General features: G+C 43.6%; 1 protein-coding gene and 2 long non-coding RNA genes across 6 annotated transcripts in view, besides 3 other annotated features; 1 reads left to right on the top strand and 2 right to left on the bottom strand.

Annotated features, from left to right (window-relative positions):
- Window positions 659–1,467: an enhancer, noted in NCBI's record as "H3K4me1 hESC enhancer chr2:105725341-105726149 (GRCh37/hg19 assembly coordinates)". NCBI's record gives its function as "activates a minimal SCP1, AML or CMV promoter by ChIP-STARR-seq in primed H9 embryonic stem cells {active_cell/tissue: H9 hESC(primed)}" and the evidence as "EXISTENCE:reporter gene assay evidence [ECO:0000049][PMID:30033119]".
- LOC105373527 (uncharacterized) lies at window positions 4,871–8,593 on the bottom strand. Of its 3 annotated transcripts, none has more exons than XR_923138.3 (3): window positions 5,587–8,593; window positions 5,143–5,309; window positions 4,871–5,051 (listed from the first exon to the last, which is right to left on the bottom strand). It is a non-coding gene; the product is annotated as an uncharacterized LOC105373527 (long non-coding RNA). The 3 variants fall into 3 exon arrangements; XR_923137.3 differs by having other exon boundaries at window positions 5,143–5,306; window positions 5,818–8,593; XR_007087166.1 differs by having other exon boundaries at window positions 5,143–8,593.
- Window positions 5,128–5,988: an enhancer, noted in NCBI's record as "H3K27ac hESC enhancer chr2:105720820-105721680 (GRCh37/hg19 assembly coordinates)". NCBI's record gives its function as "activates a minimal SCP1, AML or CMV promoter by ChIP-STARR-seq in primed H9 embryonic stem cells {active_cell/tissue: H9 hESC(primed)}" and the evidence as "EXISTENCE:reporter gene assay evidence [ECO:0000049][PMID:30033119]".
- Window positions 5,989–6,850: an enhancer, noted in NCBI's record as "H3K27ac-H3K4me1 hESC enhancer chr2:105719958-105720819 (GRCh37/hg19 assembly coordinates)". NCBI's record gives its function as "activates a minimal SCP1, AML or CMV promoter by ChIP-STARR-seq in naive H9 embryonic stem cells {active_cell/tissue: H9 hESC(naive)}" and the evidence as "EXISTENCE:reporter gene assay evidence [ECO:0000049][PMID:30033119]".
- Window positions 7,406–13,298, top strand: MRPS9-AS1 (MRPS9 antisense RNA 1). Its single transcript, NR_110227.1, has 4 exons — window positions 7,406–7,514; window positions 11,050–11,102; window positions 12,088–12,151; window positions 12,952–13,298. It is a non-coding gene; the product is annotated as an MRPS9 antisense RNA 1 (long non-coding RNA).
- Window positions 10,390–15,047, bottom strand: part of MRPS9 (mitochondrial ribosomal protein S9) — a 61,892-nt gene continuing 57,234 nt past the window's right edge. For both annotated transcript variants that reach the window (NM_182640.3, XM_011511644.3), the window contains 2 exons: window positions 13,026–13,195; window positions 10,390–10,680 (listed from right to left, as the gene is read on the bottom strand). In NM_182640.3, coding sequence (NP_872578.1) covers window positions 10,589–10,680; window positions 13,026–13,195 — 262 coding nt within the window. In that variant the 3' untranslated portion in view covers window positions 10,390–10,588. The remainder of the gene's footprint in view (window positions 10,681–13,025; window positions 13,196–15,047) is intronic.

Below are 15,047 nucleotides of genomic sequence, written 5' to 3'. Positions count from 1 at the left end.
AGAAAATCAGAAACTAAATAAATGGTGATAAAATTTGACTACAAAATTTTGAAGGCTGGGCAGAGTGGCTCACGTCTGCAATCCCAATTACAATTGAGAGGCCAAGGTAGGGGGATCACTTGAGGCCAGGAGTCTGAGACCAGCCTGGGCAACATAGAGAGATCCCATAGCTAAAAAACATTAAAAAAAATTAGCTGGGCATGGTGGCACACACCTATAGCCCCAGCTACTCGGGAGGCTGAGGTGGGGGCATCACTTGAGCCCAGGAGTTTGATGCTGCAGTGAGCTAGGACTGTATCATTGCACTCCAGCCTGGGCAACAGAGTGAGACCACATCTCAAAATAAATAAAAATTTTGAATGTGTCCCATCATAGTAATGAACTGAACAGGAATTCTGAAGCTGCTGGTATGTGGACCCCAGCCCACGGTGTGTGTCAGAGGCACTGTGAGCCCCTCGCTGCCATACAGCATTGCTTGTCCATGCTGCTGGCCAGGGTGAGAGTCCTTTGCTTTCATCTGACTCCATTACCCCAACGTGGCTTAATGGAATTCTGGGGTCGTTTAAATTCACCTTATTTTGAAAGAAGGCCAAAGTGCTGACTGTGTGCACAATGGCCTCTAGCTTTGATGTTCTTTGTTTGCAAAGATGTCTACTGAGAAGGCCTCCTAACCTTTGAGTCAGGCTGCAGCTGCTCACCCTGTAACTACTGTGCTGAAGCAGGCAAGGTACAGGGAGACAGATGAGGACCAAGCAGGGCCCCCAGAAGAAAGAACATCACCATGAACTCCAAACCAGCCAATGCAAGCCAAACCAACTCACAGATGGAGAAATAACCATGGCCTGGGACTCCCAGATCCAGTACAATAGCAGGTAAGTATCATTTTCCCATTAATTCTTTTCTCAGGGAGAAAGGCCTGCCTCTCTAAACGCTACCTGTGAGTCAGCCTTCACTTTCCCCTTGGGACAGCCTTGCTTTTGCTGTTGATGCGGTAACACCTGTTTACCTAGGGTCTATCCTGTGTCAGAAACTCTGCTGGTGTTGCACCTAAGTCCTCGAATGGCCCAGAGCCCTGGAGGGTACGGTTTTGTCAACAATTTTCAGGCAGGAAAACGGAGGCTCACAAAGACGCAAAGAGAGGCGTGGCACCTGAGCACCTAAGATGTGCCGGGCACCATGCTAGGCCTCTCCCAGCGAGAGCCCAAGACCCCACAAGGCTGTTACCTGCTCCCAGCCTGACCCAACAGGTGAGGTCATGCCCCCACCATGTAGGGACAAGCCCTCAGCATTGAGTCATTACCCTGACACTCACAGTCAGCACCTCACAGCCAGGACTTAATTGCCTTCTAATTGTTTTCTCTGTTTGTTGTTTTTCGGTAATTAGACTCGAAGCTCTCAGGACAAAAACTCTGACTTGACTGTATCTTGTAACCCTGATTGCTGGACCCAAAGACGTTATTAGTAAATATGGATTGACTGACAGAAGAATCCAGACTGCACAAGGCAGATGGGTGGGCAGATGGCCACCTTCCAAATTACCTGAACACCGTTATGAGGCATTGGTCATGAGGTCCTCCAGCTACTAGGCAAATACTGATTTCTGTGCTTTCTGTGTGCCAGGCCCTGGGGACCAAGGATGGGTGGAACAGGATCCCTGTGTGTCTGGGGGGAGGAGAACACACGCACGACTGGCCCCCATAAGCACCCTCATCAGTGCCCCAGGCAGGTGCTGCGGGGCATGAGGAGACGCAGGGTGGAGGTGGGAAGGGGCCAGGCCTCCCTCGTGGGCAGAGGCGCAGGGAGTTGCTGGGGCCGGTGTGGGCTCAGCCATCTGGGATGGCGGGTGGGAGGGTACTGTGAAGAGGAAACAAGCCTGAATGAAAAGATGGGGCAGAAAGACATTTTGTGAGGGGCCCCCAATAACCTGTGGCAGAGAGAGGCTTCAGACTGCATTCTACAAACTGAAATGACAACTTCAAGATGGCTCTTTTGTCTGTGCGACTCACTGCCTTCTGGGAAGAGGACCTGCTGTCTTCTAGGAATTATTCCTTCTGCTCCAACCACAAACTTCACTGGAGCTGCCATCATTCCAACATGATCCCAGCTCCCTAGAGCCAGCTCAAGATAAGCCAGTGGGTGATTTCCTGACATCTTTTGGAAGAAGCGGTTCTGCCTAGAAGGGAAGAATGCAGACACGGTGGCGATGGGCACTTTGGGGGCATTTCAGCTGTGAGACCCAGATGCTACTGCCCTGCCTGCAGGTCAGCTGTTCAACTCTTCTCTCAAGAACACTGGACATCCCAAGAGTGTCTCAATAAACTGAAAGAGCTTCCTCCTTTCAATTAAAAGATAGAACAAGTTGGACTTGTGCAGCCTGCAACCAAGAGTGTCCTAATGTCACCGAATACAACCCCTGACTGAAATACAGTCCTCAGCGTCCTTTAGTTTAGCTATTAAACACCACTATGAAAAAACACCTTCCCTCCACCACTTCCTTCCCTCACTTCAAAGAAGCAATATTCTGAAATTACAAACAAGAGATTCAACTTAATAGAGGGGGACACTGTGAGGGAACAGTTTACTCTGCAAAAGTAATGATGGCATCCTTGGTGGAGAAGGTTTGCCGTGAGGTTAGATACAATTATGGAGAGTTCGGGATGAATCTTTCATTCCTGACATGGAGGGAAAGACCTCTTACTGTGAGCCTGGCTCCCCTGGAGAGGTTTCAATCTTTCTTAGAAAGTACAATCAAGTCCTGGGAAAATGAAAAAGGAATAAATTTGAAGTTCTCCTGAACAGTTTTCATAGAAGATCCAACAGTGGCTGTAACTTTTGTTAACGCTTCCGTAGCAGTGATTTAATGAAAAGTTATATGAACTCACCACTCTAATAAAGGGGTCTTCCTTCTTCCTTTTCAAAAAATTTCCTAGCAGGAACTTTGGCTGGCTGATGTTTATCACCTTAGTAGATAAATATTTGTTGAGTGAATGAAAATCAAATACAAAAAGACACAAACACAAGAAAGTTACACTCTGATCTGTTTTACTGCTGTAGTAACAGTGCCCGACACAGAGGCCTTGTTTAAAAAGATGGGTTTTATTATTATTCGTATGGGGAGGTCAACAGATCAGGAGACGACTACCATCGAAAAGACAGTTTATTATTCATAGACCCCAGGAGGGGGCAGCCACGCTGTACAGGACCACGTGGGGAGGCAGAAGGAGCGAGGGTACGTATGGGCAAGAACCTTGACTGTGGCTTTTCCTGGAAGAAGAGGCAGGGTAGGCAGCTGAGTGGACTTAGGATTGGCTACTTTGAATCATTTCATTTGGTTTATGATTAGCTACTTTGAGTAATTCCAATGGAATTACTGGATTAGCTACTTTGAATAATTTCAGTAGGTTTCGGATTGGCTACTTTGAATCATTTCAGTGGTTTTAGGATTAGCTACTTTGCGTAATTTCAGTGGGTTTAGGATTGGCTACTTTGAGTAACTCCAGTGGGTTTAGGATTGGCTACTTTGAATCATTTCAGTGGGTTTAGGATTGGCTACTTTGCATAATTTCAGTGCGTTTAGGATTGGCTACTTTGAATAATTTCTGTGCGTTTAGGATTGGCTACTATGCATCATTTCAGCAGGTTTAGGATTAACTATTTTGCATAATTTCAGTGGGTTTTGGAATTGGCCACTTTGCATTAAATTCAGTGGGTTTAGGATTGGCTACTTTGAGTAATTTCAGTGGGTTTGGGATTGACTGCTTGCATTAATTTCAGCAGGCTCTAGCATGTGGGGGTTGTCCTTAATTCTCCGATGCCCTGGGGTGATCAGGGCTGGGGAATTTCTGCCTGGGGTGTGACAGCCCATAAAGGAGGTGGCTGGGTGTGGCTCTGGATTGGCTGGTTTGTATAGGAAAGGTGTACTTGCAGGCTAGTCCTTCACTATCTCTAGAAAATTTACTATTTTTAGACATTGGCCAGCCCTGGGAGGGGCAGTCCCTCCAGGGTCAGGAAGGCCCCAAAATTCTGTCAAAGCATCAGAAAAACATGGTTAAATACAGGCTTTTGCTCCATAAAAATCATGATCTTTAATTCTCTTCTAATTCTAATATAATTCTTTATTATTATTATTATTATTATTATTATTATTATTATTATACTTTAAGTTTTAGGGTAATGTGCACAACGTGCAGGTTTGTTACATATTCTAATATAATTCTTAATTCTATTGTTTTCTTGGCTATGACATTAATCTTATTATTTAGTTTAAAAGGCTAATGGCCTGTATTGAAGGAAAAGTAATGCAGTAACATGACTTGAATTATTTTTAAAATATATTTTAATATTTCATACCTCAGTATTAATCTGTATTTTCTGTGAAATGACAGAAAAATTCATTGTAAGATTTTGCTTTTGTATTCATTTTGATTTTGAGTTGAGTTTCAGTAATTTTTATAGCTTAGTGTTCAAAGATTACTTTCAATTTTTAGTAATGGGTTTATTGCATTTAAAGTGTTTTAACCGAAGACTTAGAATAAGAAGAAAGCCTTAAGCTACACTTCTGTAGCCTACAAAGTTATTGAGCAAAGGTGGCAATAATTGTTTGCCTGATTATTATTATTACTCCTTGCCTCTTAATTTTGGAGGATGCATTATAGCCTTTCTATTAAACTTCAATATTTATAAAAACAATATACTGATCCTTTCTTATAAATATTTATAAGTTCTTAGCAGGAGCTACCTAATATGGTTCTGATGGTTCTGTGAGAGGCTGAACACACTCAATGTCTGTGGGGTTTCCTGAATGGAGACTAGCTGAGGTATTTTAACTGGCATAAAAACATCTGGTCTACAACATCAAATCACTCCAACATTGATATCATCATGTTTTAATTTTTTCTGAGTAGTCAGGTCAATGAACTTAGTGCTAAAAAAAGGAGGGAAAATGTACCAGATGACTTTGCCATTCATTTTCAAGGAAACCAGTTATTTATTCCATCACTCTATGGCTTCCTCTTCCACACTCTTGGGTCTCTGTGCACCCTTGTTGAACCCTATGACAGAAGTTAAGAAGGGATTTTCTGAGGGGGGAAGAGAATCATAACCAATGTTTATAGAGCTCTTCCTATAGACTAAGTGGCTCACGTGGATTGTTGCAAATCCTCGAAATCCTTGGACAGGTGTTGCTATTCTCTCTCCTTCACAAATGAGCAGTAGAGGTTTAAGGTGATCAACTCGTCCAAAGTCACACAGGAACTCCAGAGCCCGTGTTCTGGACCATGTACATACTTCTTCAGGTGGTTTTTCATCTACTTTTACGATACAGTAGTGCATAATAAGCATGTGAGTCGTATTTGGAAGGTATAATAAAGTGGACACTAAGGCAACCACCTCCCAGCTTCAGATAAACATCACCACCAATACCTCTGCAGTCTTGGGGGCCCGCCTTCCCCTCCCACCTGGTACAGGCCTTATCTCCGGAGCCTCCTACCAACACCTGCTGCACTTCCCCCACTGGATTCTGTGCTGCACACAAAGGCTAGGCTCATTTTCCTTAAAAAAACAAAAAACAAAAACCAAACTCCTTACGCCATGGGGATGGCCCCCTTAGGGCATGTTCTGAACAAGGGACCTATGCCCAGAAACAACGCACACATCTGTGACACTCTGCAAATGATTTCAATGTTTGGCAGACTTCCTCAAACTCATGATTTGTCATTCAAACTGGGACACTTGAGAGTAAAAGGGGGAACTATCTAGTAGTCACACTGGGATGGCGGGATGGTGGGGCCACACTGGGCAAACAGGTGGCACAGTCACCTTGACTTCATCCCTGGGCTCTCATAGCTCTTCCCATCACATTGCCCGGAATGCTTTCCTCCAATCGTATGGCCCACTGACTGTCCTCATAATGATCCCAGCTTGATGGAGTGGTTATGACATCGCCTTCCTGAATAAGATGAGGGTTCTAGCTTGGTTGGAGAGCATAGTATAGTGCTTACTAATCAACACCCATCCATTAGGATCTGGCTGACATCCACCTCTCCCATCAAGTCTTCTGACTGTACCAATGCAGTCTTCTCTCCTTTCACAGACGGTTTTAGCACAGGCTGTGTGCCTGGCTTGCATGCCGTCATAGCCCGCCTGGTATTCTTCCACAGTGGTTCAGAGCACTGGCTCTGGAGCCGGGATTCTAGGTTCCAACCTGGCTTGGGCACTCACTAGCTCTAGGACTTTGGGCAAGTTATTGAACCTCTCTGAGCACTAATTTTCTCAATATCTACCTCATAGGGTTGGCTGAGAGGATCGAATGCGTTACTTGTATTTAGAACAGTATCTGGAACAGAATAGGAGCTACAGAAGCATTAGCTCTCACTGTCGCCTTAAGGCAATAATCTTGTCAAATGCCTATTAAAAAAAAATAGCCACTAGAGAGCTCTTCCCAATGTATGCACACAGTGTGTGTCAAAAATACTTCCCAACAGGTATTTCCCACAAAGGTGTGGGATGTCTGAGAAGCTCAGTGCTCCTGTGGTTAACAAACCTGGTGACAAAGGAGACTGTGTCAAGCCTGAACAAAGGAACAAGAGCTCCGATATACTTTAATCCTCTTCCCTGGAGGCCTCACATCAACACTGTCCACAGTCTAGTTCCTATTACAGCTGGAATGGAGCAGATGGCCGGTGGTTTTACACTTATCTTACTTGATCGTCACACAAGGGCAGATGGGGCTGGTAGGGCAGAAAATGACCCCAATTTGACTCAAAGAAATTGAGACTCAAGGGGTACAGTGGCCTGCGAGGTTACAAGCCAGTATTTCTTCCAGACCTCACGGGGAAAGGCACCTGTAACATTCGCCTCTCCTGGAGGCCGCTTCTTGGTCATCACTGACGTCCCTGACCGCTGTGCCTGGCTTGCTGTCTTCCTATCACCGCTCACCACCCCCTTTGCTGGCTCTTCCCTCCTTCCTACTTTAAACTTGATGGCTGTTTCTCCACTTGAGCCTTGGCCTTCTCCCTGCCCAATCCTCCGTGCTGATCCAGCCCACGTTTCAAATTCCCCTTCCACGCAGCAGCCTCCCAAATCTGTCAGCAGGCTGACCCGTCGCCTGAGTCACAGTCCAATTATTTCAAGCATCTCATATGAGGTGGCCCCGAACACCTGAAACCCGAGCCGACCCCTCTGGTGTCTCCTCCTCCTCCCATCAACTTTTCTTCCTGTCTTCCTGGCTCTTTGCATTCCCAGCAGCCTGTGGATCTCATACCGAATACCCGCCCCCAGCTCTCCTGCAGCCAATCAGCTATCGCACTTGGTCCAGGTGAGAGTGGCAACGTTTCTCACACCTACTTCCTTTCTGTTCCCTGCACTGGGTCCCATCCCCTCCATGTACAATAGCTGCCTGGCAGGTCTCTTCCTTCTAGCAACTCCCTGCTCCTGCAGTCCCTCCGTGACCTTCCTGATGGGGAGATCCTCAAGACTTTTCCCATGAGCTCGGGGTTCCTGAGGCCCAGAAGAAGGTGAGAGTTAAGGCTCCGATTTTGTTGTTATATTATGCACTATGACTCTACTTAATATATATATACATATATTTTAAAGGTTGCTAAAATATAGTTTAAAAACACAGTTCTAATTTCAACCCTCATCTGTTCTCTCAAAGGAGAAAAAAAGGCTGATTCCCCTTTGGCAGTGCAGGAACATCACCATGAATTTCAGACCCTCCACAAATCCACCTCAGCCTCCTTCCCAGCTGGTTTCCGCAGGGACCTCGTCCCTCCCCAGCAATGCCCTGGCCCGCCTGGCTTCACTCCCTGCACATTTCCTGAACTTTCCTTCCTCCTTTCTCGCCATTTTCTCCATCTGTACTCCCACCCTCTCCTTTCATGGCCTCTTTTTTCCCCACCACCTCCTCCTCAGAGTGCTACTGTCCTCAGGGCCCCCTTCCTCAGCTCTCCTCCTGGCACTGTACGAGCAGCACTCCAGGTCTCCCGTTAGACTTGAGGACTTTGTCTCCTCCACGATACCAACAGTAGCTGATGCAGGGCCAGATGGCATATACTTCAGGCAGCTCTGCACTGCCCCAGGACACCAGGTATGGCAAGAGCTCAGCAAGCGGGCGATCCGTGCCGGCAGGGCTGCCCGCCATCCCATCTCAGCACACCCACGCCACGTGGGGTAACCACTTGTCACTTCTCTCTTGTCAAAATGGTAAAAAGTATACTCCAACAGATACAGGCTAAATCAACACCACCGACCAAAACCTGCCACAGACAATTTCACTAGAGAATGACCGCCACACAGAAAAAACCCCAGAAAGTATTTTCTACAGTTTCATCTGAAATGAAAAGGGCACTGGGTACCGCAGGGTACTGGGTACTCACTCTCACTTGTTCATCACCATGTTATTTTATTTTACCTCATAAAGGATTTGATGTGTATATACATGTCTCAGAACTTATTCAAGATTATTTTAAAAAGACACTTATGAAGAAATCAGTGGCATACAACTCTTTATATAAAGGATAATTGAGCATTGAGGGTCTAATTCTTGAAGCAATATTTTTACTTAAAATAACTGCATTGAAATGGATTTTTTTTTTTTTTTTTTGAGACAGGATCTGACTGTTACCCAGGCTGGAGTGCAGTGGCACAATCTCGACTTACTGCAGCCTCTGCCTCCTGGGTTCCAGCGATTCTCCCACCTCAGCCTCCCGAGTAGCTGGCACTATTGGCGCATGCCACCACACCCGGCTAATTTTTGTATTTTTTGGTAGAGATGGGGTTTCACCATGTTGGCCAGGCTGGTCTCAAACTCCTGGCCTCAAGTGATCCACCTGCCTCAGCCTCCCAAAGTGCTGGGATTACAGGCGTGAGCCACCACACCTGGCTTAAAATGGGTTTTAAAGTACCCCTGTTACCAACTGCCCCTTTCCTCCCTCAAAAACCTACTGCACAATTGCATTAGAGTTAAAATGCCAAAGTTTCTTCATTTTAAGGTACTTTAGAAATCCTAGAGCAAAACTCAATTGAACGCTTAGCTATGACTGAAGAGTCTCACTCCTGGCCAAACACCTATGTGTGATCTTTCATGCCAAACCATGGTCAATCATAAAGACTGCCTGGTGGGCCTCACGGGGGCAAGCTACACTCCCCACACCTGACTTGTGCACAGCCAGTGCATGACAGGTCCTGGGGGCCACAGTCAAGGACTCAGCCCACCTCCCCGCAGCCCGTGCTCTTCCAGAGCTATGTGCACTCCTGGCTGGGTGCCTTCATTCAGAGGGATCTGTTCCTTTCATGCAAGTCCTCCCTCAGGCTCCTCAGCTGAGACTTCCTGGGGAAGGGAAGCTTGAAGCCACTTTTCTCCATATCTGTGCTGATCCAAAATGGAATCCACAATTGTTTCAATAAAGAAACTGTGGCATATATAAACACAATGGAATATTATTCAACCTTGAAAAAGGAGATCCTGCCATTTGCCACAACGTGGATGAACCTAGAGGATACTATGAAGTAAGCCAGGAACAGAAAGATAAGTAGTGCAAGATCTCACTTAGCTGTGGGGTCTTAAAAGTCAAATGTATAGAAGCACAGAGTAGAATGTAATCACTGGGGGTAGGGGGTGGAGGAACGTGAGATGCAGGTCAAAAGGTACGAAGCTGCAGTTACATAGGATGAGTAAGTCTAGAGACCTAACGTACAACATGAGGACAACAGTGAATCATACTGTATTGTATGCTGGAAATGAGAAGAGACCTTAGATGCTCTTTCCACACACCCACACCTGGGAAACTATATGAGAGCTACGCTGATTTGCTTGACTGCAGTAATCACTTCACTCTGTAAATGTATATCAAAACATCCTGATGCATACCTTAAAAATACACAATAAAAAGATTTTTAAATACCCCCAAAACAAAACTGATCCAAAATAGGGGGCAGGGGTGCCTTCTTTGCCGCAGCCTTGCTCGTATTCCTGCAGCGAGTGAGCACAGACAGGCTTGACTGTGCCTTTCACTTGGCTGTTGTGTATACCAGCACCTCCCACACCTGGCAGCTCAGCTCCCTGGCTCTGCTGAGCTCCTGACCGACTCAAGTTACTTCATTCTTCTGAGCAAGCACTCTCACTTCTCATTTTGAAAAATACGTGGTGACAATTGCCAAGTGGGGAAGCAACAGAATCAGGGGAAATGAGTCTAGCTCTAGCATTGAAAGTACCAACAGTATGGCTCTGGTTGGTTGCTTAATCTGGGGGGCTAAGCCTTCTTGTCTGCAAAATGAGGTAACTTGACTATATTTTGCTGAATATTCCTTTCAGGTCTAATATGCCAGATTCTATGAATTATGCTTCTTAAAACTATATTCTGAAAAAGTTAAAAAAATAAAGCGGCAGAATGAAACTAACATTCTTTATTTTCCTTTTATTTTTTAAAGGTCACCTTTACAAAGTAGCATTTAAAAATAAATCCATCTCACAGCTCAAAGAAATTTCTGACAGTACTGCCCTCATGCTGGTCAGCCATTATTTACTGTGTGTCTGCCACATGTCGGCACATATATATAGCTCTTCCTCTCCTTTCCTGGGAGCAAACCCTTAGCGTTTCTTCCACGTAAACTTTCTGCGGGCTCCCTCTTGGCCTGGCTTCTTCCGTTCCCTCACACGTGGATCAGTAGTAAGTAGTCCAGCTGCAGCATAAAAAGAGAAGCCTTTAGGAACCATTAATATGCATGCTGCCCAGAAGAAAAGCAGGTTCATAAATTTATAGGTACTGTTGTCTGAGAAAAAAAACTAGAGGAAAGCAACCAGACCAGTAATAATTTACCAGCCCAGTATCAACCTCATGATGGCAGTTTGCTTCCACTCTTTCAGGATATTTTTCCAACCTCTGAGACAAACACAAGTTACATTATTTAAACCTGCTTCCCTTAAATTATAAGAATCATGGCTCCCTTTTGGTTTTTAAGCTTGCTCAACCTAAGTGAGATAAAGCTCCTCTTGTGTGGGCGGTCACTATTCACTGTAAGGGAACTTAACCTGCACACTTACTATTGCAGAGGACAGAGTTTTAATGGAGACAAGAGGCAGAGAAGAAAAACTTACTGTAAAGGTGAAGTATGAGAAAGTACTTAGATACCATCTATTAACAGTTTACATGAATATGCATATACACACAAATATGACTTGTCAAACATTTAAAAAAGGAAACTTTCATTATTTTAATTTATGCCATAATAATATTCCCTGTTTTTTTGTTTTAGAATCTAAAAAATAAGTTTTAGAGTTGTATTCTCAGCACAGGCAGTTTCTTCTAGAAGAATAAAGTCAGTTTAAACGGGAAACTTTCATTCTCCCAATCATCAGGAGTGATTATGTTTCTAGGCAACTGCTGGGGTTACTCTTAGCTATGGCCCATAAGGAAGAGCCCCAGCAGTGGCTGGAGCTATAGTAAGTTAGTAAAGACCATAGATTCCAAGAATACCACTGATGGGAAAGCTCTTACATTGCTTTTATAAATATGTAAATGGACCATACTTTTTCCTTGTCTTTTTCACTCTTCCAACGTTAGCACTCCTCCTACTGTATACAAGGCTTGGGTATTTTATTAAGGACCATTTAATGTACATAGAGCAAAGGAAAACCTTGTTTATGATATACCCATAACATTTACACTTGCTTGTACTTAAAGGACATGCATGGAATAAAACAGCAGTATTTGACAAAATACAGAAAAGACCTAAGTTCTAGCTTCAACTGTAAGTAAGAATGCTTTATTACTTTCAGATATGCACAGTAGCTCAAACTCATCAAATTGTTAAGATTCTAGCAAATTACTTCAATGACTAGATATGAATCCCATATGATGACAAATTGCTTATAAGCAAATGGATTTTTAAGAGCCTTAAGCAATTAAGTAGCCTAAGCCATAGGTAGTGTTTTTATTGAACCTCAGCGGCTTGTACTAGAAGGTCTGGTGCACAGAGACCAACCTACTTGCCCAGAGGAGGAGCTTATAGACTTAGGTGCTAAGTGACTTGCCCACGACCATGCAGCCGCCAATAGCACACATGGTGCTTTCCTCTTCTCATCAACAGTGCGAAGATGGTCTTCAGCTCAAACTTCCCCAATTTATTCCAACTTCTAAAGCAGTAGTCTAAGGTAAGAATCAACTGCCCATCCTTTTTCACATTACACAGGGACTCTTGTATTCATGCCCAGGTAACAGGGTTACACAGAGTAGGGTAAAAGAAAATTCAAACACCACAATGGGAAAAAATGGAAACCTCCAATAACTTACAAAAACAAAATACCCAAAGAACTTTATCACTAACCAAATAATTATTACAAATTTCTATGACAGGCCAGGTGTGGTAGCTCATGCTACGTAATGTCAGTGCTTTGGGAGGCCAAGGCAGGATTGTTTGAGGCCAGGAGTTCGAGAACAGCCTGGGCAACATAGCAAAATGCAGTCTCTACAAAATATACAAAAATTATCCAGGTTTGGGAGTGTATGTCATAGTCCTAACTACCTGGGAGGCCGAGGCAGGAGGATTGCTCGAGCCCAGAAGTTTAAGGCTGCAGCTAGCTATGATAATACCACTGCACTCCAGCCTGGCTGACAGAGAGAGACTGTTTAAAAAACAAAAACAAAAAACCCACACATTTCTATGATAAAACAAAAACAAGCAATTTGTCTCTTAAATATAACTAAGCTAAGCACTTTGTTAAGCTGGATAAAAGGTTATGCATTAAGGCCAAAATTAACTTTTCCCTGACCTTGGAACTGAACATTTTAGCAGGGCTCAAATAATCAGTGTGGGGAGTTCTCCCCTTTTTCTAATTCAAGCTCACCTTGTAGAAATCAAATCTGAGAAATACTGTTATGGTTCTGTAGCAAGAAAGAAGACAGCGAAGTGAAATATTACATATGTAACTATATATTTTCTTACGAACTTCAGGCACTAGGACAAGAAGCAGATGAACATGTATAGCCAGTATTGGGCCACCATGCCCGTCCCACCTAGACTCATACCTTGTCTCATCCACTCGACCTCGTCCTCGGTGACAAAGCTGCACAAGGCTTTTGCCATTGCCAGTCGTATTGCTCCAGCCTGCGCTGACCTCCCGCCCCCTGAGACTGTGCAGGTCACGTCGTGCTTTCCCAGCCGGTCAACAAAGTGGAAAGGGAACATCAGCTGTTCTCTAAAGCACAGCACAAGTAAATGTGGTTACGTTTACTATAAAGATACATAATTATGTAAACAACTGAAATTCTGAATATTCATAAAAACAATATTCTGCATGCCACTGTTATACTTTTCATACTTCTCAATCAATCCATTTTACCAAGATATAGAAACACTAACATTTCTGACATTTTGAATGATTTGCTGAGAGATTAAGATTTATTTCTTTTGCTTGGGTATAGCAACACACTCTTACTGTTTGCTGATCCCCTTTATCTCAGAAGATCTTTTCAAAGCTTGAAAATAATCTCGTAAAGAAGTCTTACAGTTGGGGAACTCCATTAATCAACTGAATTTAATGTCTCTGGATTGAATGATCAGATATAAAATCAATAGGCCTTTCCAAACAATTATCACATGTCATTTGGATTCACTAAATAAAGTCTACTATAAGTGTATCTGTATAATGTATAATGCTCATCTTGATATGGTTAGTTTTTAAAGTTTCTAAAACTATTTTCGACCTTGCACTTCCCTGACACCAAACACCTATTCCCAATATTCTTAAAGTTCTCTAAATCATAGGGTCCTGCTACCTTCCTGGGGCCAGGTGACATTCTACACAACCCCTGTCAGGCCTGCTCTTTCAGGGTCGGTCAGGGCCTACAAGATCCTGGGGCAGGCACCACAGACAAAACACGGCCCTGGACTTTCTCCTGCTCAACTGAACAAGTATTTGTTGAATATCATTTTCACGCCAGGTAAGATGTTCACCATTACCTCTGTCAAGCACTTTGATTTTGCTATTTTGCCTTAATATCTTGCTACACTTTTATGCAGAAAAGCTCACTTATATTGCGTTTGCTTTCTTTGATGCTGTAGCTTCTAGACCCAAAATCAAGTTTATATAACACAGTTAAGCTGAGAGACAGGTATGGACAGGACATTCAAGTGCTATTCTTCATACCACACTAGTAAAATAATCACAAGCAGATGGGCAAAAGATGACTTTCAAAAGCCATAGCAAATCGGAATTTATAACAATACGATGTAGGGATGACATAACTCCTACAACAACAAAAAACTCATAAATCTATACTGTCTTTTTGAACAAATGCTTCCAAGAAACCAAATGAAAAGTAGCCATAAGTTATAAAAACAGTATTATAAGTAGTATCTATTAATATACTATGATAACTAAAGAAAATTTAAGCTGAGCACCTAAAGTACAAGCTACTCAGGAGGCTGAGGTGGGAGGACTGCTTGAGCCCAGCAGCTTGAGTCCAGTCTGGGTCCAGAAGTTTGAGTCCAGCCTGGGTGACATAAAGAGACCTTGTCTCTTAAAAAAAAAAAGTAAATATAAAAGAAAATTTAGGCTGGGCGCAGTGGCTCATGCCTGTAATCCCAGCACTTTGGGAGGCCGAGGCGGGCAGATCACCTGAGGTCGGGAGTTTGAGACCAGTCTGACCAACATGGAGAAACGCCGTCTCTACTAAAAATACAAAACTAGCCAGGCATGGTGGTGCATGCCTGTAATCCCAGCTACTCAGGAGGCTGAGGCAGGAGAATTGCTTGAACCCAGGAGGCGGAGGTTGTGGTGAGCCAAGATTGCACCACTGTACTCCAGCCTGGGCAACAAGAGCGAAACTCCATCTCAAAAAAAAAAAAAAAAGAAAAAAAAAATGTACAGACTGAAAATCTAATTCCACTATTGCATTTACCTCGACCATCTGGCTCCATGACTCAGTTATATATCCAGTAATTACATTATGAAATCTATTTTTCTAGATTTTAATTGAAGTCTCTTTTTATTTATATAAGCATTTGTTAAAGAATCATAAAATTTTAAAAATTAAGCCAGGAAAGTG

Source organism: Homo sapiens, chromosome 2, assembly GCF_000001405.40.
Source record: "Homo sapiens chromosome 2, GRCh38.p14 Primary Assembly".
Classification (NCBI taxonomy): Eukaryota; Metazoa; Chordata; class Mammalia; order Primates; family Hominidae; genus Homo; species Homo sapiens.
Note: the sequence above shows the minus strand (reverse complement) of the source record. Positions and strands in the feature narration are given on the sequence as shown.